General features: G+C 33.0%; 1 pseudogene, besides 2 other annotated features; it reads left to right on the top strand.

Annotated features, from left to right (window-relative positions):
• Positions 1,086-1,995, top strand: EIF3IP2 (EIF3I pseudogene 2; annotated as a pseudogene).
• Positions 6,029-6,529: an enhancer, noted in NCBI's record as "H3K4me1 hESC enhancer chr7:118585869-118586369 (GRCh37/hg19 assembly coordinates)". NCBI's record gives its function as "activates a minimal SCP1, AML or CMV promoter by ChIP-STARR-seq in naive H9 embryonic stem cells {active_cell/tissue: H9 hESC(naive)}" and the evidence as "EXISTENCE:reporter gene assay evidence [ECO:0000049][PMID:30033119]".
• Positions 6,530-7,030: an enhancer, noted in NCBI's record as "H3K4me1 hESC enhancer chr7:118585368-118585868 (GRCh37/hg19 assembly coordinates)". NCBI's record gives its function as "activates a minimal SCP1, AML or CMV promoter by ChIP-STARR-seq in naive H9 embryonic stem cells {active_cell/tissue: H9 hESC(naive)}" and the evidence as "EXISTENCE:reporter gene assay evidence [ECO:0000049][PMID:30033119]".

The raw sequence follows: 25,116 nt of genomic DNA, 5'->3' as shown, positions 1-25,116 counted from the left end.
TGAACAGACATTCTCAAAAGAAGATATACAAATGGCCAACAAACATAGGAAAACAATGCTCAACATCACTAACTGTCAGGGAAATGCAAATTAAAAGTACAATGAGACACCACCTTACTTACTCCTGCAAGTAGGGCAAGAATGGCCATAATTTAAAAAATCAAAAATAGCTGATGTCATAGATGTGGTGAAAAGGAAACACTTTTACACTGCTGGCGAGAATGTAAACTAGTACAAACAGTATAGAAAACAGTATGGAGATTCCTTAAAGAACTAAAAGTAGAACTGTCATTTGATCCAGCAATCCCACTACTGGGTATCTTCTGCTGTACAGGGCAGAAGGTAGAAACTTCTCTGTCAACTTTGTTGTGCCTCAGTCTTAGGTAGGCCCTGTGTCTCATGGTGCCTGGGGTAAGGCTTTCTCAGTTACCCTGCCCCTGCTGAAGTAGCCAAATGTTGCCTTGTGCCTTTGGAGGCTCAGTGATAAAGGCTCTTTATCATTAATGTCTTTCAGTAATGTAAAGACATTATTGTTTATTGAAAGATGTGTAGAAGACAAAACATACCATTATAGATCAATTCACGTTCTACTTAATTAAATCCTAAAGGTATTCTTGTATTTTGGCTACAAAATTATTGTAAATTGTTTAAATTAAAATAAGGAAAATATTACTTTTACCCAATCAATCTTGATGAATTTTTCCACTTCCACCCTAAATTCTGATTATAGAAATAAACTTTATGCTAAGTTTGAAATTATTTTTTACTTTCCAGCTACACATCAAACTCTATTTTGCATCTTATTACTTTCAGAAATAGAGTTTTCTAACAATTATGAATAATCCCTGCTTTACTTGGTGTTACACTCTATAAAATGTCAAGGGTGTGCTTGTTCACATCTCAGTTTCTCCTTAGGCAAAATCTTAAAGTCAACTACTCCAAATTGAATCTTGTGCTGTGCATTTACTTATGACATTTGCCATATTTTTGGACCCTGTCTGTATTATGATCTATAAAAAGGATCAAGGAGTCCTTCCAGAAATAAGAAACGAACAACTAGAATATATATCGTCCCCAGTGGGATGATCGTCAATGTGTGGTACTCTGTGAACGGTGAGAGGCTGGGCACCCACGTGGACCATACAGCAGCTGTGTGCTGCATGGACAGTGACTGGGACACCAAGCATGTCCTCCCTGGCTCAGCTGACAACAGCTGTCGTCTCTGGGACAGGGAAGCAGTTGGCCCTACTCAAAACTGATTTAGCTGTCCAGACCTGTGGCAAGGACTTTGGGAACAATATCACTATATTCTCTACAGACAAGTAGATGGGCTACCAGTGCTTTGTGAGCTTCTTTTATCTGCAGGACCTAAGGCAGATTGACAGCAATGAGACATACATGAAAATCCTTTACAATGACTATAATATCACTAGTGCTTTTTGAGGACCCCCCAGGGGAGTGCATCATCACAGACCATAAGAGTGGAGTGTCCAACCAGTATAATGCCACATCTGGAGAGGTATTGGTGAGTGTTAAATAGCACTCCCAGAAGATCAGTAACATCAAGTTATCCAAGGACATAATCATGTTTGTCACTGCAACCAAGGACAACACAGCCAAGTTCTTTGATTCTACAACTCTTGAACATCAAGAGACTTTCTGGACAGAACATCTCATCAACTCAGACGCCCTTTCCCCAGTTATAATGACCATGTGATACTGGGTGACAGAGAGAAAGCCATGGATGTAACCACAACCTCCAACAGGACTGGCAGGTTTGAGCCCAGGTTCTTCCATTTGGCCTTTGAAAAATAGTTTGGAAGAGTCAAGAGTTACTTCACAACTGTCAACAGGGTTGCCTTCCCTTCAAATGGCAAGAGTTACAGCAGCGGCGGTGAAGATGGTTATGTCCATATTCACTGTTTAGGCCCACAGTACTTGGAATTTGAGCTTGAGGATTAAGAAGCTGGATCTCCTCGGGAGACCGAGGTGGGTGGATCACGAGTTCAGGAGATCAAGACCATCCTGGCTAACACAGTGAAACCCCGTCTCTACTAAAAATACAAAAAATTAGCCAGGCAAGGTGGTGGGCACCTGTAGTCCCAGCTACTTGGGAGGCTGAGGCAGGAGAATGGCATGAACCCAAGAGGCAGAGCTTGCAGTGAGCCGAGATGACGCCACTGCACTCCAGCCTGGGCAATAGAGCAAGACTCTGACTCAAAAAAAAAAAAAAAAAAAAAAAAAAAAGAAGCTGGATCTACATACAGACCAGGAAGTCATCTTAAGAAAGTTTTGAACCCTAAGAAATAAATTAGTTTGGTAATAAAAAGTGATGAAATTTATAGTGCTTTTCATTTTGGACATGGGACTGGTTATAAAAGTATATGATATAAGAAAAAATCTGTCATCTCTATATTTGAAAACAAATTTATTCTGCTCAATTGCAAGTAAACGCAAAAGCTCAGTAATTACTGTGCAAACACATGTTTATGTCTCATCTTCATCCAATTATTTTCTCTTGATTTATGATCCCCATACCTTGTATATATTTCAGGAAATTATGAGTATAAAAACCTACATAACCTGAAATTTTTTAAACTGGAAAATATCAAAAATTGCAATTTTTCTTTGTTTTCCTTTTACAGCATCAATACATCTTCATGATTAAATCTGTGTTCAAACTAATTACCTAACAAAGTTTGTAGAGTATCTCTGGAATACTCTGGAATATTTTGCATAGCTATCTTAAGTTCCTGTCTTTAAAAACAAATTTTGAGAATTTTAAATAATTATTACTAACATTTAAATGTTTTATTTTTCAGTGAGTGTGGTTGTTAACAACAGGAAAATGGTAAAGAGTTTAAAATAAGAAGCAAAGTGATCAGGCACAGTAGCTCATGCCCATAATCCCAGCATTTCAGGAAGCTAAAGCAGGAGGATCACTTGATCTCAGGAGTTCCAAACCAGCCTGGGCAACAAGGGAGACCCCCATCTCTACACAAAATTTAAAAATCAGCTGTGCAGGAGGTGCATGCCTGTTGTCTCAGCTACCAGGAAAGCTGAGGTAGGAGGGTCACTTGAGCCTGGGAGTTTGAGACTGCAGTGAGCTGTGACTGAGCACTGCACTCCAACATGAGTAAGCCCTGACTCATAAATAAATACATAAATAAGAATTAAAAGGACACAAGTTTTATTAAATAGGAAAAGCAAGTCTTAAAGGATTTACTACTTTTTCTTTACATTATATATTTCTAACAAAGAACTGAAAGGAAATATATAGCGGTCTTCAGGAATGCTGATTTACATTTTATTTACATAGCACATCATAGTACTGCAAATGCTTGTAGAATAATTTTTTTAAGTGAATGAAAGTGTCAAAAGTGTTATATTGGCACAAAATTGTTCTGAGTTAACTCTGCCCTAAATTTTCTGAACACACACTGAATACCACTGAAAATGCTGCAGTCTCCTAAAGCAGCTTGCTGTAAACTCTAATTAGAATATACCTCCTGAGATTTACTTTAATATGATTTTTCATGACCACTTGATAGACAACTGTAAGAACTGTGATTGCCCTTTCATAATAACACTCCTTCAAACTCATGGTCATAAGTAGAGTCATGGAAATACTGCATACATTGCAAAAAATGTATAGAAATATTAATTTCCCCAAATATTTGGAAGTATGAATTCTCTTGAAAAGAAAAGGGAACTGAACTTGAGGCTTCTGTTTAACCAATGATTGATATACTGGTCAAGATTTTCACCAGCCTTTATGACTGAAAGATTGAACACTGATTTGTAAGATGCCACCTATGTGTCTCTCAGTGGGTGCCTACAACAGCTTACTTTGTGTTTCAGAGTTATATCTTTTTCAGATTAACTGGATTATTCAGATTAACTAGATTTTTGAGATTATCTAGAACACGGTCTTCAAATCAATGTGAGAAGCTGAAGCACATTCACTTGCCAATCAGGTATCAAAAGAACCAGCAGATTATAAGCAGCAAAACGTCTGATAACAGCAAAAGCTATCAGAAAAAAAGAATATGAAATAAATTATAAACACTTAAAGACCATAAAGTAGACACCATTGTTGATGGTGACATGGCATCCTGGTTTCACAGCCCTGATTAGCAATTCACGTCTCTAATAGAAGAACCAAACCATCAATATATGTTCTATATACTACTTTTAAAGAGACATGGAGGTACATAATTCACTTTAGATAGACTTAAATTAAATTACAATTGTAAAAGGTCTATAAATATTTTGAATTAGGAAAAATTATATTTATGTAGAAAATTTACTTTATGTATTAAAATTTATAATTTCAGAAAAAATTCTGTATACAATTTCATCTTAATGTTTATAGTAGTTACACTTCAACAAGCTATGCTTTAACAATTTCTGATGTTTAAAGATAAAGACATTTTCAAAAATCTTATAATCAAGCTGACTAAAAATTTTCTCATGTCAAATCGCTTTTACACATACTGTCTCTTTGATACAGTATGAAACTATTCAAACATATTTCCCATAGGTATGCTCCAAAAGTTAATCACTACTTTCATAAAACTCAATATATTAATAACTTGCCTATCTTAAGTTTCCTGAGCCTAGAATGTGTTGCATTTTTAAGAAAACTTACTTTAGTATGCTTCAATAATTTGTTCTTGCAGTAATATGCAATCCTTGGCTTATAAGTGTAATTTTTCCATTTCTTCTATAAATGAAGTTCTCCTCTAAAACAAACTCATTAGTAGCAATAGATATCAGAATGAAGTTTTTCATGTAATAAACACTTTTAATAAAGAGCAGAAGCATTCAACACCCCGAAAAAATTTCTCTATATCAAGCTTTCCTCCCTGAAATGCAAAGCATCTTAAATGTTTTTTTCTATTTTACTTTAGCATTACATTATATACTCATTTATTTAATTCAAATAAAATGTCACTTGTGCCTGCATTCTGAAAATACCCATTTGCTCTAATCAATTATTTAATATTTATTATATTCTTCAAAAACCATTATAGGTTCAATTTTTGTACAGCAAATAAATAAAATGATATTTTAAATTTTGAAAGCATGCCAAGTACATAAAATGGTCCCAGTTTATTTATTTCTTCCACTAATATTTCTATATGCTACAGTAACCATAATATGAGTGTTTTTTTTTTTTCTCAAAAACATCTTAAGACCTAGCAATATACTGCTTCATATATCCCCTGAAAACCTCTCATTCCTTTTGGTAATATTTTTAAAATAATTTTTAACACAGTTAAACCTAGATATTTACCCAACTGATTTAAAAACTTATATCCACATAAAAGCTCCCCATGAATATTTACAGCAGCTTTATTCATAATTGCCAAAAACTGAAACAAACAGAGATGGTGTTAAAAAGGTCAATAGACAAATCAGTTGAGATATACCCATATTATGAAAAATTATTCAACATTAAAAAATGTTACCAAGCCACACAAAGACATGGAGGAATCTTAGAAGCCATTCTGAAAGTGCACATGCTGTATAATTTCAATTATATGACATTTTAGACAATTCACTACTAAAAACATTATAAACAGATGATTGCCATGGGTGCATAAGAGGGAGAAAAGATGACTAGGTGAAACACAGGGAAATTTTTAGGGCAAGAAAATTATTCTAAATAATACTGCAATGGTAAATACATGAAACTGAAAAAAATTCATGCCTAATGGATACAAATTTTAAAACGTCATTTACAAGGCCACAGAATCCTAGATAGAATAGAGTTTGTGAGAAAGTATCCTAACTGTATTATAAATGTATGAGACAATCTCACTAAAGGAAATAAGAGAAAAAACTGCTGAGCTAAGTAACTTTGGAAATAAGTAAAGACTTTAAGACTAAAGGGAAAGGAGCTGTGCGTCAGCACTGTATGTACCTGATAAAGTTGTTTCCCATGGGGGTATAAGTGAACAACTCTGATATTGTTATGCATATATACTGGAATTAAACAGTAAGTCGATGACCGGTAGTGGTGAAACGGGAAAAGTTCCCTTGTCCCCTCACAGGGCGTGGTATGCAGGTGTGGCTTGCTTCTTCAGTGTCCCGCTGCTCAAACCTCTAGGGGAGGATACAGATGGACAGACTGTGGGGTTCCGACCCCAACGCAGTGTCTACGGGTGAATGTTTACAGCTGAAGCCCCCAGTGGGTGGTTACAGTGTGCTCTTTTAGCTTAGCTGACAACAGGCAGCTTGCGTTAGCCAGCTCAATTAGACCCCTGCCTTGTCGCAAGGACAAAGGGCTTTCTGTATCCCTGGGTTCTTGCCTTGGTGCACTGGAAGAATTGGATCACACGTGGACTTGGAGAATGAGTACAATATTTTATTGAGGGGAAATAGCTCTCAGTGGGTGGGAGAGGCAGAAGGGAGATGGTTTTCCCCTGGAGCTGGGTAGCTCCGCAGCCCGGGCTCTCCTGTGACTGCCCCACCCGAACTCTGAGACATTTTGCTGGTCAGTGGCCTGCTGGTGTGCCGGTGCCTGCTGATGTGCTCCCCTCGACGTCCAGCCACCTGAATGTCTGTCTGTCTGGGTTTCAGGGGTTTTATAGGCACAGGACGGGGGCATGGCAGGCCAGGGTGGTCTTGGGAAATGCAACATATTGGCAGGAAAACAAGAATGCCTGTCCTCATCTAGGTCCCCTGGTAAGGGCCTGGGGGTGGAGCCTTAGCCAGGGACCATGCCCTCCTCAACCCCGCACTCCCCTTCTCCCTTCCATATCGTTTAAAGGGACTACACCCTTCTGTATCACTTAAAGGGACTACACCCTTCCATTCCGAGCACTTCCCTTCCATGTCAGTGGGAGCCCAGTTTCTCATTATTTGTGTGAGTTGTTACAGATAAGCAAGCAGAGGAGGTTGGAATTCTCCATGTAGATTAGGGTTAGATATATCAGCATAAACATGTTTTGATTAAAACAGATACAAATGAATGCATAGATGAATATTTATAGATACGGATTTATTTTCATGTTATTATACATGCATGTATCTCCTTGCTCTACCTCCTGAGAGGGCTTAGAAGCAAAGTCACCCCAATAGCAAGGACCACACTTAGCACATAGATCCTTCTTTCTAATAGCATTCTCCAGTAAAAGACACCAGGGATCCTTAAGAAACAACTAATTCTAGGACTGAGACATGAAGTACACAAGAGAAGGCTAGAGCATTTTGTAATGCCAGAATGTAAGAGAGTACGAAAAAAACAAAACGAAACAAATTTTAACATTCACCTGCATTTTTTTATTTTATTTTATTTTTTTGAAACGGAGTTTTGCACTTGTTGCCCAGGCTAGAGTGCAGTGGCGTGATCTCGGCTCACCGCAACCTCCACCTCCCAGGTTCAAGCAATTCTCCTTCCTCAGCCTCCTGAGTAGGTGGGATTAGAGGCTTGCACCACCACCTTGCCTGGCTAATTTTGTATTTTAGTAGAGATGGGGTTTCTCCATGTTAGTCAGCTTGGCATCGACCTCCCGACCTCACGTGATCCGCCCACCGCAGTATCCCAAAGTGTTGGGATTACAGGTGTGAGCCACTGTGCCTGGCCCATATTTTTAATTAAAGGAGATTATGAGTTTTTTTCACAACACCCAAATAGTTCATGCAGATAGAATATATCTAATAATGCTGTCAGCTTATTCAATGATCTTGCATTTCAGCTGAGGTTTATTGAATGAATAGCATGCTTTAAACCAATATCTTACCATATGTTGAATATTTATTATTAGTTGAAATGACTATTTTGTTAATGCAGTAAATACGTTTGAACCGTGACAATGATTTACATCAAAATATTCATATTAACTTGGTTAAGACAATCCGAAAGAACATTAGTTACTTCAAGGTGACGTCATTGACAATTACATATTTTCAATCTAGGTACCAATGCCCAAAATGAGCCCCTCTTTTAAAAGCCTAATTTTAAAAAAGTCTGTCAATAGGTTCACGTTGTTTAAAAATTTTTTAATTTTTTTAGTTTTAAAAATATTACTTCACAGAAGATGTTACAAAACTATGCAGTCATGCAGTCATTTATTTTAACCACAGAAACAGTCCAAGGATAACTATCTAAATACTTATGGATACACTCATATATATCAGCACAAAGGCTAGCTAGCCATATATATTTACACTGGTGCACTCCAGAAAAATTCTATATTCTGTGAGGCTGAAAATACAGCAGTTTGAAGCTCAATACGTATCATATTTTCAGGACTCTCTTAGTGAATGTAATTCTTAGACACTAAAGCCAGGTTGTCATTGATGAGAGCCAACTTTCTTCACTATCATTTGACAGATGTATTTGGACAAGTAATGTCTAGATTTGTTATTAAAGAGATTATAAAGGAAAAAATCTAGATAAGATTTATAGGTATTATTTGAGGATTCTAAAATAAATGTTTTATGTGAAGCTTTCTCTACTACCACTCATCTCTACTCCTGACTATAATAACTGAACTCTTCCATTTGTATTGCTTGTTCTATTAATTATAATATGCTATATCCATAATTTTTTGTACACAGTACTTTTTTCTATGCTGACATGATTTACAATTGGAGAAGGCAGTTTATAATAATATTCTGTAACCAGTAGCTTAAACATAAGTTGCAGTTTGTAAAAGTAATGCTTTTATTTTATGTATTGGAAGAATAAGTGGATGACTACAGAAACTTAGAAATAATTTATCTATTAATTCATATGCTCTAAAACAAAAATTTTCATGCCATACAATGCAAACTACATTTGTTATCCACTGACAAATGTTTTACAAAAAATTTTATTGTAAATGAAGAGTTTAAAATCAAAATTAAATCAAAATAAAATCTTTTTTTGTAAATCAGATTTGTCATTAATGGATATCTTCTTAATAAATGCTGCTGAAATCATAATCTTGTTCTTGAGGCGTTATTACATTTCCACAATGAACCATTTCACAAAACACAAAATGTGCTAAGTGGCTAAGTGACTCTTTATATCCTTGCTTCCTATGCCACACTGGTTTTATTCAGAGTCTTTCTTAGATTATGACAACCTGTAACATAACAGAAAGTTAACTTCTCTGTAAAACATAAATTTTTGAACAGTTATTACATTTTTATTGAAAAATGAAAAGTATGCTTCTTGGAACAACTTCCAAAGGATACTCTCCTTGTTGTAACAATAAAATTTACCTCCTGACAGCTGTGCTCATTCAGATCAATCACATCAATGTCAGCAGTCTGGACTACTGACAGTATCTCTTCAAGATAACCCAAAGATGCTCCAGATAGAGAATGAGCTCATCTTTGCAATATTGTAAAATGAAAAGACTTATTGCACTCCTTCTTAGACATGTTTCTAATTTGAGTACACTAAAAGAATTCTATGAATAAAATTATTTGATCTGTTAACTTATATATCCACAGACATTTTATCTATACTTATCACTAATATTGTACAGCAACATCTGCTAACAATTTCTTATGAAGTTTCTTCAGTGCTCAAACATTTTACTAAAAATGTAATTATCTGTTTTCAACACTCTCTTAGGCCAATTAGGAGAACATATTAAAGAACTGCACAGTGAATACTTTCAGAAAAATATCTAGTACTTGTATTCTATTAATTTTTTTTTTGTAAATCAGATTTCTTTAAATGAAGCATGTTGTGGTCCCTAAATGGAAGTAAATTTATTCTCAGACCATTGGTCAACCTAGAAATTTTTAGAATATTTTCAACATTTAGTTTATGCATTTAGAGGAGATGTTCTAAAGAATTTTTAATGAACAATAGTAAATATCACATGGAATTGTAACCAGGAATTGTGTTTATTCTTTCCACAAGTACTTATTGACTGTCTTCTCTATTTGACACTATGGAGTTATGCTATGGAAACAAAGATGAACAAACTAAGAATGATTTTTGTACTTAGATGCTTACATTGAAATAGGCAAAGGAAAAAAAACAGGTAAATTAATTAGCAAAGTTACTTTATTATACCAGAGAATGAATTTAAGCAATTATTCTAGAAAACAACTTGTCAGTATTAGATAAATAAGATGCATCTGTAATTACACACAATTAACAGGGAGTCGAATAACTTAGGTGTCCCTCATTAGTATATATCATCAGTAAAATGTGGTGGAACTTATCAGAAAAATACAATGCAGCAGTCAGATGCCACATAGAACTATTCTAAATGTATGTTGCCTCAAAGAATTAGCAAACACAATAAAAGTTATAGCACAATACCATTTATGTACTTAGGCAAATGAAAATATATACTTAATCAAAACTGCATTGCATATGTCCTAATAAAATACCCATACTTAACTACACATACTAAATATCAAGGCAGAGTCTCTGATGAATCAAGCATGGAATGATAGCAGAGATATAAAGACAAAAACAAAAAGTCATAGAAATAGCAAAAAATAAAACAAGAGGGAAATAACACACAATATTGCTGATAATTTCCAATGGATTGAAAATATTTCTAACCAACACTCTGTGTCTGAGATTTAGAAAATGTATAAAGGACAAAATCAGATGACTATATGATCAGAAAGTTTGCTGAAAAGTAATACAAATGGGGATCAACAGCATCATATGTAATCAGGAAATAGAATGTAAAGCAATGATAGGTTACTTATTTCTTCCTTTCTGGTGGCAAAAATGATAAAGTTTGTTAATATCCAGTATTAATGAAAATGGAGGAAATAATAAATTCTGTAAAATGTTGAAGGAAGTATAAGACTGAGCAATATTCTTTCAGGGCAAGAATTTTAAAGGTACATGCTTAATGACTAGCTATTTAAATTCTAGAAATACATCATAAAAGTAAACATACTAGCATGGCTTTAAAGAAGAATGCCACATTTCTGTTTCTGGTATGGCTGTATTACTCTCTTAAGTACAGGCTATTCTGATAACAGCTAAAATTCTAGATAAAATTGGAAATTTTATTTTTTAAAAAGGCAACTTTCTGGAAATTTTGTAGTGTAAACACAAAGAGGCAGATTGTTGAGGGGAGTCAAAAATTGGATAAGTGATTGCCAATTAGTTTCCTGTAATTTCTTTTTGATAGATTTTTTCAGAGAGAAAGTCTAAGTCATGAAGCAGTATGAAAAGTTAAAACTATGATACAAACTCTGATGCCCTTTTGGATGGGGGAAATAGAGAAAAAAGTCTAGGAAATCTTGGTGAAGTAAATACATGGATAAAAGGATCCCTTATTCTATGCATGAACACCACAGGTATACATGTAACAGACTGAGGGAAGCATTGCAAAGGCTTAAGGCATTGAACTGAGATTTTAAAAGAGATCATATACAGTAGGAGAAATAGTGCTTAAAGATTGAGCAAAATGTACACATTAAATATAATTATAACATCATAATTAGGTAAATAGATGCATACATATGTGTTAATAGTGTAGTGAAATATAAAATATATCATATTTAATTAAAAATATATATATATATATCTCCCTAAAAATGCACACACATTACTTAAGACTAACAATCTCCAGGAAATGAATAGAAAATATGCTATACCAATGGAAAATCTATAAATTCAGGATAAAACTAAAACTTTTCAAGACTTCTCCCTATTAATGGTGTAGGACTATATGGCATGTCTATAAAGGATACATGGTACATAAACAATTAAATGGCTACTCTTTTCATATCTCTTTTGGGCCACAGCTCTTCTCTATATATCATGAATCCCTTAATTCTATATAAAGATTTTTCCCCTTCCTACACATCACCATGCACATGGCCAAATATAATTACTCCAGCCCCTACACGTTGTATCAAGTTTCATCCATGGGTTCCCACCTATAGAGTATCAGGATATAATTTTGTAAGTGAGAATCAGATTGTCCTTCTTTACCCGCCTAAGATTGAACTGTTCTTGATTTGTCCACATTGATCCAGGCAGATGTGACCAAAGAAAAAGTCATGTTTTACAATGCTAAACTGGCTCTTCAGTATTCACTGTTGAGGGGCATTTATTCAGGGAAATGGTCTGGACTAACTGAGAACTTCAGTCTATGGCTCCTTCATCATCTGAAGAAGATACTAAGTAGAAAATTTTATCCTCCAAAGGCATATGAGCAAATTTACTATTGTTTAAAAGGTAAACTGAGACACAGTACAATTATAAGAGTTTATTTGGGAAAAGGGGATTCATGAATCAGACAGCTGCAAACAAGAAGTGGTTCAGAAGCTCCACCAGGAGGTTTTTATAGAATGAACATGGAAGTAAAGTAAAGAAAATATTTGATTGATTTGCAATTAGAAAGTTGCCCTACTTAGTCCATTCCACTGGAAATTCTCTAGTTATATATTTATAACTTAGTTGACCGTTTCTGGTTGGTTGATCTTACATTCTGCTTTTTTCTTTAATATCAGAATTTACAAGAAATAGCTCAAGTTACATTTTGCTTATGTTTGCAAATCAAGCAACACTGAGGTCACTTATGAGACCTAATTGGCTTTGTTTGCTCAGGGATTCTTCTAGTTTTGCCTCCCTTCTAGTATCATTTAACACCAATTACGTTCTCATCCCTCATTTTCTTTACAAATACATTCATTCTTACTATGAATCCCTAACAGACACCCTTATACTCAATGATTAAAACTTTTCTTTCACTGACTTCTTCCTTTTAAATTTGTCACCTATTTCTTGACATTGTTCTCAATTACAATCTTTCAGTATCTAGAAGGAATTGGTACCAGGAACTCCCCCAGATACCAAAATGCAAAGATGCTCAAATCCCTTGTATGAAATGGTGTAGTATTTGCATATAACCTACACACATCTGTCTGTATACATTAAATCATCTGTAGATGACTTATAATACCCAATAAAATGTAAATGCTATATAGTTCATTATATTGTATGTTTTGTTTGTATTTTTGTTATTGCTGTATTTTTTATTAATTTTTTTAAATTTTACTTTCAAATAATTTCTATCCACAGTTGACTGAATCCACAGACGCAGGAACTATGGATTTGGAGGGCTGACAATATTGATCAATGCTTTTTTTAGGTACCTTGCCTCCTATTGTTAGTAGTCGTATCCTTTAAACAAACAAAATATATTATTCCCAACCACTAATGCTTATAAACTTACAGTGTGCAGACAATTGAAAGGAGATGGATTTTATACTAGCAAAGCTCTAGTAAATTGGATTACAAACAACCAAGTATGCCAAGAGCTGTCAGATCTAAAAGCAATTATCTTGTAAAGTACTTTTACTTTGTCTAATTCAATGCAGTATATCATGCTACCTCAATGGTGCCAAATAACATGCAGACCCTACACAGGATAGAATACTCCTGTAATATACAGATGTGTTTCTAATTATAAGCTAAAAAACATCAGACTTTACAATGATAGCCTCTTCAAGTAGCATTGGGTGCAAAATCTGAGATAAACTTGACTAAATTCTCACTGTGGCTTAAAATTAAAGCAAGAAAAATGTAAAGAATGTGAAAAATGAAGACTCAAATTATGATTAAAGATGTCTAAAATTTTTCAAGTTTATTTGTAAGTTGTAGGTATTTTTATAGCATCATTTTCTAAAATAAACAAAAATTATCTCTTTAAATAAAGTAGATTATGTATTTGTATAACTAATTTGTCAATTGTTATTTTACAGCATTATACCCTCAGATACATAGTGTAGGGAAAAAACTGAACTTAAAAACATTTTATATCCATTTGAAGCAACTTCATATTTGCATAAATGGCATAATGATTCAACTGAATCTGTTGTATAGCAATACTATTAAATAATCTACATGTGATTTATAAAGTCAAGATAGCATTTCCATTTTTAAAATTATTTATAAAATTTTCATGACTAATGTATTTTGCTTTCTTGGTCTATGGCAGTTAATATGGAAACGAACTAAAAACAACCATATTTATGATGGAATCATATAATTGTTAAATATGACATTATTAATATTAGTTTTAGGGATTCTATTAGCTTTACATTAGCTTTAAGGATTATAATTCATATCTTATACCATTATTATTTGATTTCCAATGTTTTAGTTGTCCTTTAAAACTGATTAGTATTAATGTAGCTGTTTCATATGGCCAATACAGAGATAAAGGCAAACATGGTTTTTTAAAATTCTTCCAGTTGTGTGGCTAGATCTGGACTGGATCTTACACAATTAGCATTTTGGGCAATGTAATAGAACAATATAACAGATACGATAGTGAAAATTCTCTAGAAAAAGTCTGGCAGGCCATACACAGGCATTTATTATCTTCAATAAAAGCATGTACATATTTTTATTAAATAGTCTTCTACCACCACACTATATACTCTCAATATTAGGTACAGTTTCTCTATATCCTTTCCCTTGACACTGTTGACTCTCACGTCACACTTTGTCACAGGTGGTAAGTTAGCCTGTCCCCTTTGTGCTCCTTGCCTCAGCACTTCTTGGAGTAGAGTACTGAGAGCATTTTCCTAATAAGTTAGCTCCATTAGAGCCAAAGCATTGCATTTCTTATAGTCTGAACGCTCTGATAGGGCTCATCCTTCCCACCAGGAACACCACACTTCAAAATACTTATTTAATATATATTAAAACACATAATAGTAAACTTTATTGCTGAAACTGGATTGAACTTACTAGTTGCAACAGATAATCCTTAATTAAATGTTTGTGGCTTAACACAGGCAAGCAGAAAAACTCCATTAGGCTTTCTATGAAATATTAGAGATCACTACGAGACAATCATTTTAAGAATATTTGTGAGAATCATAATCTTGGCTTCTTTCAATGAAGTCCACTTTCTTCTTGAGATTCCAGTCAAATAACTACAAATAATAAATTAACCAGCATGTTTCTCATATTTTATTATATATTTATATACATATGTATACAAATATAAATATACATTGCCTTTGGTTGAGATGTATTATGATAAAAAGCTAGTTGTTATTTGTTTTCATTTTCATTTTTAATATACAGTTTTTTTGCTTTGTTTTCATATTAATAAGCATTTAGCCCTTTAAGTTTTATTTTATTTTTATTGACACATAAAATTTTACATATTTATGGGGCACAATGTGATGCTTCAGTAATTTCATATGTGGTGTATTTTTCTCTAAAATGTAGCATCAACAATTTTGGTAGAGAAAAAAATGGAAATTTTGACTAACTCTCATGTGCCTTAACATTCCATTTTGAATGCATTGTAATAGTTTCAAGGAAGAAACTATTAAGGTCATAAAAACTCTGAAAACTCTGCAAGATGATTCCAGTCATAGTGATCCCTTTATTGTATTCAAAATTTCTTTATTCGTGAACATTCACGTGTCACTAGCAATAATTACTTTTTAAAACTAAATATTTAAAATTATTATATATTACACAATAAGTATAATTACAAGGGTACCTTGCTTTCTTCTCAAACATAGAATATGTTAGAAGAACACTTCTTGTTTGTGTCAGCCTTTGTGTTATTGCACAAATGATGCACTCTGTGCTAAAAACACAGTGTACAGTGATTTTAGAGGTAAACTTTAATACACAGAAAGTTACCTTGACCATCTTAAATTCAGCTCTTTTTCATTTTCTACAAGGACAGTAGCAATTCTGCTATTCTTTTAAAGCATGTAATTATAGGAACAGGACACATCTGAGGGACTACTAATAAATACCTCTCCTCTAAGAGAGAGCCACATGGAAATCGTTACAGAAAGTGAAATATCCCCTCCTTTTAAAAACATAAAACAGGGCTTCTACAAACTCTTTAAAAACTCTAACTTCTAGAGATTCAATCATTCTCTGTCCTAGCACCCATCTTTAATGTCATTGTCTAATTTTTTATTCCATTTCAACACATAATATTTTCATTTTAAAGAGTTGTATTTTAACTCTTCCTAGCCAAATGATTCTAGTTCATTCTAGTTCATCTGTCATTTTGCTTGAGAAACTAATTCATAAATTAATTTAATATTAGTCTTTTGAGTGACTTAATTTTGCCAATTTCTAGGAACTATAGAACATACAAAAAATTGCCTATGGGAAATTAACACTCTTATGGAGGACAGTATGTATACTACATAAAAAGCAATGAAAGATTTTTAAAAACCTATAGAAGCCAATACAATCAATTTCTAAATATATATATAAAAGAAAATAATCTGTAGGAAGAGTCAGGAATGTGAGAAGAAATTTGTTGTTAGCAATTACTGAGACTTGTTTCTTGAAACATTTAGAACTAGAAATAATTCTTCATTAACCAGTACACAATGTGTAAGTGAAGAGGAGGAAAGGATAACATTCTATGTGTGAGAAGAAAGCAGAGGTACACCTGTAAATCTGAAGAGATGAGTGATCATTTATTTCCATTTATAAATCAGCATCTGTAGAATGTTACCTAGCAGTTGAAGTGCAGTAGAACAGCTTCAGAAAAAGGGAATTTAATATGATGAGGATGTAAAGTTTGAATTTGATCTCATAGGAAATGAAAGCTAATGGCAGGGATTTAAATGAGAAAGTCACTTCTATAGCAAGAATTTTGGCATCACTTTATAGACTTCATTTTAAATAATTTTCATGTAATTACAGTTAAACTGTAGCTTTTATTAAGTTTTGGTTATGGAAAAATACTCCCAAAAGGAAAATCAATTTCTTTTTCAATTATCCTTTTATGATATCTAAATCAAGTATACTTGCACAAGATGAAAGATATATGGTTCTATGCCAATTAATCTAGCACATAATCTTGTAAAAAAAGTTAAAGTTCAGGATATACAGGATTACATTTTCCTCAAAATTGATAGAAAATTTGAAAAAGTATAAGTATGAATGGTAGTAAGCAGGAGAAGTAGAAGTATGATAAACAAAATGTATCTACAGGAGCTTCCTAAAGAGGAAGAACTGTTTCCTTCAGAAAAGTTGTATAAAGCATGCAGTAGATAAAAATTATTTTGAATTGTCTTTGGACATTACTGCTATGCCTCTCGGACTATGGATTTTTTATTTAGAAATTATTTTAATAGAATGATAAGTTTTTAGTACTACAGACAATTTTGGAGCTTTATGTTATTTTTGCTCCTTTTGCAAAACTATGGTCACATATTTTCTGTCATTATTTTAATCAAGCAATTTATTATTCATTTAAGTACTTTAAATGACAGAAAGCCTATTAACAAAAACATATTTATATAGATATAACACACATATATTGACATATTTCTAAATGGCTCAAAAGAAGCATGTTTCTATTGAATCCTTTCTTAAGGTATAGTCCTAAGACTAGCAACATTAACCTCTCTTGGAAACTACTGAATAAGAAACTCAGGGGACTGCACCCATCAGTCTGTTTTTCCTGCCCTCAGGATGCTTCTGGTGGAAGTTATGGGAACAACTTAGATTAATGCAGTGTATTTATATGTTGCTAAATAAGACACTCATATTTTTGCATGTAATGATATTTTATCTTTTTCCGAATACTTATTATAATGTACTTGTAACCTATTCTTCCTTTTTTTATAATAATGCATATTATGTGCTACACAAATAACTTTTATAACAAATTTAGAATGATGTAGCACATATTTATTCTAAAATTAAATGAACAATAACATTAAAATAAAACAAAAGTAAGAAAAATATGTAAGATATAAATAATATAAAAATATATTTCCTATATAGAAATGTATGATTCTATTTTATAGTAGCAGATAAAATTTAGCTTAAGACAGCATATATATTTGTTAATTTTTATTTTTTTAGAAAACATCTGTTCTTTTTCTACTGTAAAACAAATATTAAAAAATATGTGAGTGTAAATTACCCTTTCAGAATTTACAAGAGATAATATCAAATTCCCTTTTGCTTCTCTCATCAGCGAGCTGCTAGAAAGCTATCAGGATTTCTACTTCCACTTTTTCACTCTTCAATTTTGTCTTTTAACAAAATAGAACTTTTAAGATCTGAAAAATAAAGAGAACTTTTTAAAATAAGAACATACCTATCTATAGTCTTTGACACTACACTTTTTAATTTAGCTTATTTTTTTTATGAATGTGAAAAAAGCCCCATCTCACATTCATTCCCCCTACAATAGTTCTGGTTTACGATAGTTTGCAAAATTATCGCTAATAGTTGTGTTTCTGTACTGTTATTATGTGTGTCTTAATACTAGAGATGCCTGAGAAACAATAAACATATTATACAGTCTACATTAATTTAACATTTGTCACTTTCCTCCGTTACCATTTTTCCCAAAGTTTCTATATTCTGAATTATCTCCCCCAGCTTTGCTCTCATAACTAGCATATTTTCTTATAAGGGTTAAAACAGTGTGCTTAGTGGGATGCTGAAACATATAATGTAAATAATACACACTATTTTGTATTATATTACAAAACAAAATAAAAATATCTTCATGTTATGAAGGAGCTTTACACACAAATATGTATTATAAAAATAAAAAGTATTGTTGTGTTTGCTTTTATTCATTAAAGATGAACTATCAGAAATTCCTCTTGTAAAATAATTAGAAAATCCTCCAAATATACAAAATACCTATATTTAGCCATTGAAAGATGGGCATTACAGGACTATGGTCTGTGATAATATGGAAACATTACGTGAGCCTTGCAACTGTCCCCCTGCCCCATTACTGCAAGAGGCAGTTTCCAAATTGCAAAGTAGGGAGTTGAAACCCAAAAAGAGGCCAGTGATATCTCTGATGGAAGGAAACAGAGTCAATGTTTGAAGAGATTGAGGTGGTTAGAATTTGTAGAGCAGAATACCAAAGAGGAAGCTGCAAAAAGTGGGGAATCCTATACATCTGCAAAGGTGTCTCCTCAAAATTTCAGCTGAAAGATTGTTTGTACTTGTATGGAGAAAACCTCAGTGGGACTGAGAGAAACAGAAGACAATAGACAGTGCGTGTCTCTGAGCTCACACAGGACCAAGAAGAGGTTGCAGCCCCATCGGCTAGAGGATGGACCTTGTGATACACGGGGCAGTTGTTAGAGTTCTAAATTAACTTTAGACTAAAGGGTCCTCTGTCTCTGACATAATCCTTGATTTTAAGGCTATTTGTGTATCTTCCTTTTCAGTTCTGCTTAGAGTAATAATTTATTTATTTTCAGAGTCTTTGGGGACTTCTGCATGGTAAGACTCATTCAGCACATATTGTTACAAAGGTAAATTTACCGCTAGAAAATTCAAAACACAATTCAAAAAATACTAACAGAATTACTAAAGCTTAGACAAGGCATTTTCCAAGAACTCGATGTATTAAGCCAACTAGTTTTAATTGTAATTAGTTACCAAGGAAGTAATAGAGCTGAAGCCTGCATAAATATCAAAGTACCAGATTGCATTTATCTATTTTGTCCTGTTAGACATTTGAGGAAAGTTCTTGAAATGTTACAGTCAGAATACAGTAAAGAGAGGTATTCAGAGGGCTTTTCAATCAATGTACTCTCCTTAATTACATGAAATAAATATGCCCAAATTCTTTCTGGAATCCACAGTTTTAAATATCTTATTAAGTGCCAGTGACAAGCTAATATACTTTCTAAATTCAGATTTGCATCATTTTTTAATGAAGTTGGGAGTTGGGAGGTTTTTAAAACTTATGTGGCTATTTGGGTATATTTATCTTCAAAATATGGCAACTGAACTTATATGAAATGAACCCTAAAATTTATTCCATATTAATTAATCATAATGCTATGTGAGTGTATTTGTGTAGGGAAAGAGAAAAACCCAGATTTTTCATTAGTTAACTTTATGGAAAGTATATAATTGTTTACCCCAATATTAAAAACACAATAGAATTATTATAAACAACCATTGTTAAATATTTTAAATTATTCTAATAAACCATGAACAGCTAAAATATCTTGTTGGCAAGTAAACAAAAGACAAGAACAAGTAGTATGTGTTATCATTCCTTTTTTTAACTAAATTGAATAATTTGGCCTCATGTTTAAGTTTACAAGTTTTTAATTTTATGATAGACATTTTCCCTGTAACCCTAACCATCAGGAAAAATTGTGAAATACTTTGAAATAGGCATAGTGATAAATGAGTGTTCTGGCTTCCTTCCTTACATTTTCAGGTTACTTGTTTCAACAGAAGCCTTACAATATAGCTAATGCAAATTATTCTTTCCACAGAAATGCAAATAATTATGTCAGCTGGTGATCCAGTTGGCAATTGTCTTGTCGATACGGACAACAGTTTCTTGTTCGTTTGTAAATTCACTTCAGTGTTCATGATTGCCTGTATGTGTGGGTGAGCGTGTTTGAATTATTTGAAATAGTTGTAACATCTCACTGGTTCTCTCATAAACTAATGAGTTAAATAATATCTCTGACGTGTTCATTTTATGTGTGTATGAGAGTTTTATTTTAGATTTTTAAAATATATTTTTAGCATTATAAGAAACTCACTTACCAATAGAAAGTAAGGGATCCTGGGTCCTGATTCTTTCCTAATTCCCTGGAGGAGAAATATTCTTTTGCTCATGAATTAGTAATTTTCAGAAATTAATGGTCTTGAGTAGTTATTTCTCTTACATAGATATTTGACAGAGGTGGCATGCACTTTTTTTCACAGTTACAAAAAGAAAAAATTCTACTTTTGACCCCCAGTGCTTTTCAGACATTAATGTGAATGAGTTATCTCGGGGTCTTGTTAAGAAGCAGATTCTCACAATCTGCATTTCTGAAGTGTTTCCACACAATGCCAATGCTTCTGCCACTGATGAATCATATTTTAGCAAGAAACAGACTATCCCTTTCTCGCTCCCTGGATATTTCTCTACTCCTTCCACAATTCGTGGAAGGGCAATGGAGATGTGTTTCTGATACAATTCATTCAAAACTCATAAGGCAATGCCTTTCCTTCAAATGTCAGAACATTATTTTAAATAAAATTTAAATAGTATCATTATAAGCATATTTCAAAGACGTGAGTTTTAATAGGCATTCGTTGACTCTTTGAGATTTATCATTCAGAGCTCTAATTTTATGGAAAGAAAAGTTACAATTTTAAAACAGCAAATTTAATGAACTTTTGGAATAATGCCCATTTATAAATTTAGAGTTGTCTATAATTTATAAATCCCAATAAACAATAAAGACAGAAATGGGTAATACTACCATGAAACCTACATTGAAACAGGTAAAATTCTCTGATAAAGGGTAAACATACTTGGAAATAAACTACAAGCCTACTTACAATAAATTATCATATACAATTAAATAATTATGGCAAATAATGAAAACAACAATTGATAATTGAATTGTAAAATAAACCACTAACAAAGCTGGAGTGTATAAAATAAAATTAATATCACTATACAAATATATCACATTTCAATGCGTATTTTATAAGTTAGGTTGATAGACATAAATAGATATGAGTGTGTCATAAATATTGGAAATCAAGACATCTAGACAATGGGGATAAAATATAAAGACACATCTCAGAAACCCTAGAAATACACTAGAAGAAAAAATTTTCACAGACAATATTAAGCAATGTAAAAATGTTCTCTGATCTATATGTGTAAAGTATTATGTGACTATGTATATAGAAATGAGATATTCTGTTTCTAAAAGTCAGAGATGGCCTCACAGTGGAAGCAAGGCATAAATAAGACGATGAAAAATAACGTGGTTTCCTTAACTGAAGATGGGAAAATATTTCCAAAAACACAGAGGCTGGAAGAAAGTTTGTCATCTTTAGGAATTCAGGAGTAAGCCAGTGAGCCCACATTGCCAGGCACCTGGGATGGGCTGTTCTGTAGGCAGGGACTGGGGACATGTGTGGAACCCTAATCAGGAAAAAGATAGGCCAGGATAGGAAGTTTAGACTTGAAATTCTTCATCAGGACTGTCCAACAGAACTTCTGAAGCAATAAAAATTTCTATATCTGCACTTTGCCAAATGTATAATCCAATAGTCACATGTGGTTATTGGGTATTGAAATGTAACTAGTTTAGTAAAGAAAATAATTTTTAAATTTTATTTAATTTTCTGTGGTCCCATGTAACTAATAGCTACTGTTTTAGGCAGATCAGCTCTAGACCAATCATTTTACACTAGAAAATGTATTCAGATGTACCGAACTTCTTCCCAAAGGGGCATACATGCAACTGAACCAATGCCATATATATATTTTTTTCTTGAGACTGCTGGTTCTCCTGTCTCACTCCATAAAAGAAACTCTTTGCACTCATCCAGATATTACTATTGTACCTAGCCCCAGGGAATAAATAATCTGCATCATGTTTGTTGATGCTACAATGAGTCTAATAGCTAATCGACACTTGTTTTTAGAAAATAATGTCATTTCTGTATAATTGTTTCCAACAATTTTAAAGAAAATCTGATTGATTGTACTTGATAGACAATGAAAATATACTTGTGACCACTTTATTGAAATGTTTCACCTGACAAAAAATCACCAAAGTGTGCAATTCAATGGATTTTGGTAATTTAGAGAGTTGTGGCAATAATCAGCACAATTTTAAAACTTTTTATCACTCCAAAAATAAACCCCATGCCAGCAGTCACACCCTATTTCATCCAATACACCCAGCCCCAGGAAAACACCGAGATACTCTCTGCCTCTATAAATGTTCTTATTACTGGCATTTCATATCAGTGAAATCATATAATACATGATCTTTTATGACCATTGTTTTTCACTTAGTCTAATGTTTTCAAGGTTCATCCATATTGTATCAATTATCAATAATTCATTCCTTTGTATTTGTAAGAATATTCCATGTTTTATTTATTCACTTATCTTTTGATGAGCATTTAGCTAGTTTCCAATTTTGGCTATTATATATGATACTGCTGCAAATATTTGTATACAAATTTTTGTATGGACAAATGTTCCCATTTTCTTAGATATATACCTAGGGGTAGAATTGCTAGGTCATAATGTAACTAACTCTATGTTTAATTTTTTTGAGGAGCTGTTAAACTAACAACTGATTAGCATATCCTTCCGAAAATGATGTGTTTTCTTAATGTGTTCACTTTCAACAATATTGAGAGATAATCTAATTGACTAACAGGCCATTAAAATATATTGTATGGCATATCATGATGTGATTTTTGGTATATGAGCTCAAATAATACTTTAAGTAATGTTGCTGGGCAAAAAGAAAATAAACATACTCATCAGCAATTAAGAGAAATAATATTTTTACAAATAAGATTAATGCAATGAATTATTAATAAAAAAATCAAAATCTTTAAAAAAGAAACTATTCTTTAACAGCTACATAAAACCATATTGGAACATGAAGCCAAAGACATGAGATCTCCCCAGAAATCTGAAGCAGTTACTTTTACTTTCTGTACTTTATATTGTAATATAATTATTTCTGTAATATCAATACTTTTTTAAATTCTTTAACCAGGATGTAACTTAAGCCTATTGTGCAACCAAGACCATATGTGGAGTGTCCTGTTTGAATTTATATGGAGCCAAGCTTTACAAAGTCCTGCAGAAAAAGTGGCCTAACATTGGGTGTAGAGAATCCTACTCTTACAGGTGGTAAGGGAGGTCAATTGTAGGCAGACTAGAAAATTTAGAAAATTATGGAGGTCTCATGAAGGGCATAATTCACCCACATTTACAAGTACTGCATTTAAAATCTGGTGGAGAAGGTTTCCTGAAGGGTTTCCTATCAGCCCGATAAAAGAGCTAATAATAGAGGCTTTGAAAGTTCCATATAGGATTCCTTATGAAAGCTTCCAGACAGAAATTTGTCCTGTGGCCTTAGAATAAATAGCTTCTGGATCTATCTTTGCAACACAAACTCAAGAGCTACATTGATACTAAATGTACTGCATTAATGAAATAATAGATAAAAATGAGTGTGGCCTTTTTTGAAATAAAATAATTGTTCCAAATAATGTATTGTGTCAAGGGGAAGGGCATTGCTGGGAAAATTTGCCCAATCTTTGGTAAAAAACAAAAGAGATTACCGGGTGTTCTTTCAGTGTAGTTCTGGTAATCTAGCAGATGCTCTTGGTATTGACAGATTGTATAAAAAATGAGCACTCTGTTGCTCATTTGCTTAAATAAATAATAAAATTGATCAGTCAACACCTGTGTTGACAAGGCTATTTTAAATCTCTGCTATTTTTTTAAATGTCTAATTCCAGTTGTTCATTGCTGGCATATAAAAAAATAAATTTTGTATATTGGCCTTTGAATCTAAAACCTTGCTATACTTTCTTATTACTTTCAATAGTTTCTCTGAAGATAGTTTTCTACATAGGCAATTATGCCCTTTGCCTGTAAAGACGGTTTTTTCATTTCCAATCTGTATTATTTTTAAACTTCTTCACTCTGTTATTTACTTCCTGTTTACTTTCTGATCTGACAGAATACTTTGTATGATTTCAATTTTTCTAACGTGTTGAGGTGTGTTTCTTGGCTTAGAATTTGGCTTATCTTGGTGAATATCTCATATGAGCTTGAAAAATTTGTGTATCCTGCCCTCATTGAATGACGTATTCAATAAATGCCATTTAAATCAAGTTGATGGCTGGTGTTCAAGTTAACTATATCGTTACTGAGTATGTTCCTGCTGCATTTGTCAATTACTGATAGATGTTGAAGTCTTCTACAATACTGTGACAAAATTTTTAACACACTCTTTTGTGCCTTTATCACTTTCCTCATCAAATGCGTTTCTTGCTTTAGTTTATACAGTCTGTACACAGAATTGTTTCTCTCATATCTAGTAGTTTTCAGCTTGTAGTGACTTTAATTTCTAGTGAAAATGCTAGAAAGTAATTTTGAATTGTTTTGTACCCATATTTGTGGATAAAAACCATTTGTAAGGTGATTTTCTTTTTGTAAGGGTTGGAGTGGGAGTACATTCTTATTCTGGAATGTGTTGTTTACAGGAGAAAAACAAAACCTAATCTTTTCTAGGAACTACATGTTTCCTTAAAGTCTTAGTTTGATTATGACACATTTAGTATGAGTGACTCCATTTTGGTTTGGTCTGATCTTTTGGGGCCTAGTGCATGAGCTCACT

The sequence above is a fragment of the Homo sapiens genome, chromosome 7 (genome assembly GCF_000001405.40).
Source record: "Homo sapiens chromosome 7, GRCh38.p14 Primary Assembly".
Taxonomy (NCBI): domain Eukaryota; kingdom Metazoa; phylum Chordata; class Mammalia; order Primates; family Hominidae; genus Homo; species Homo sapiens.
The sequence above is the reverse complement of the archived record's forward strand: the minus strand, read 5'-3'. Positions and strand labels throughout refer to the sequence as shown.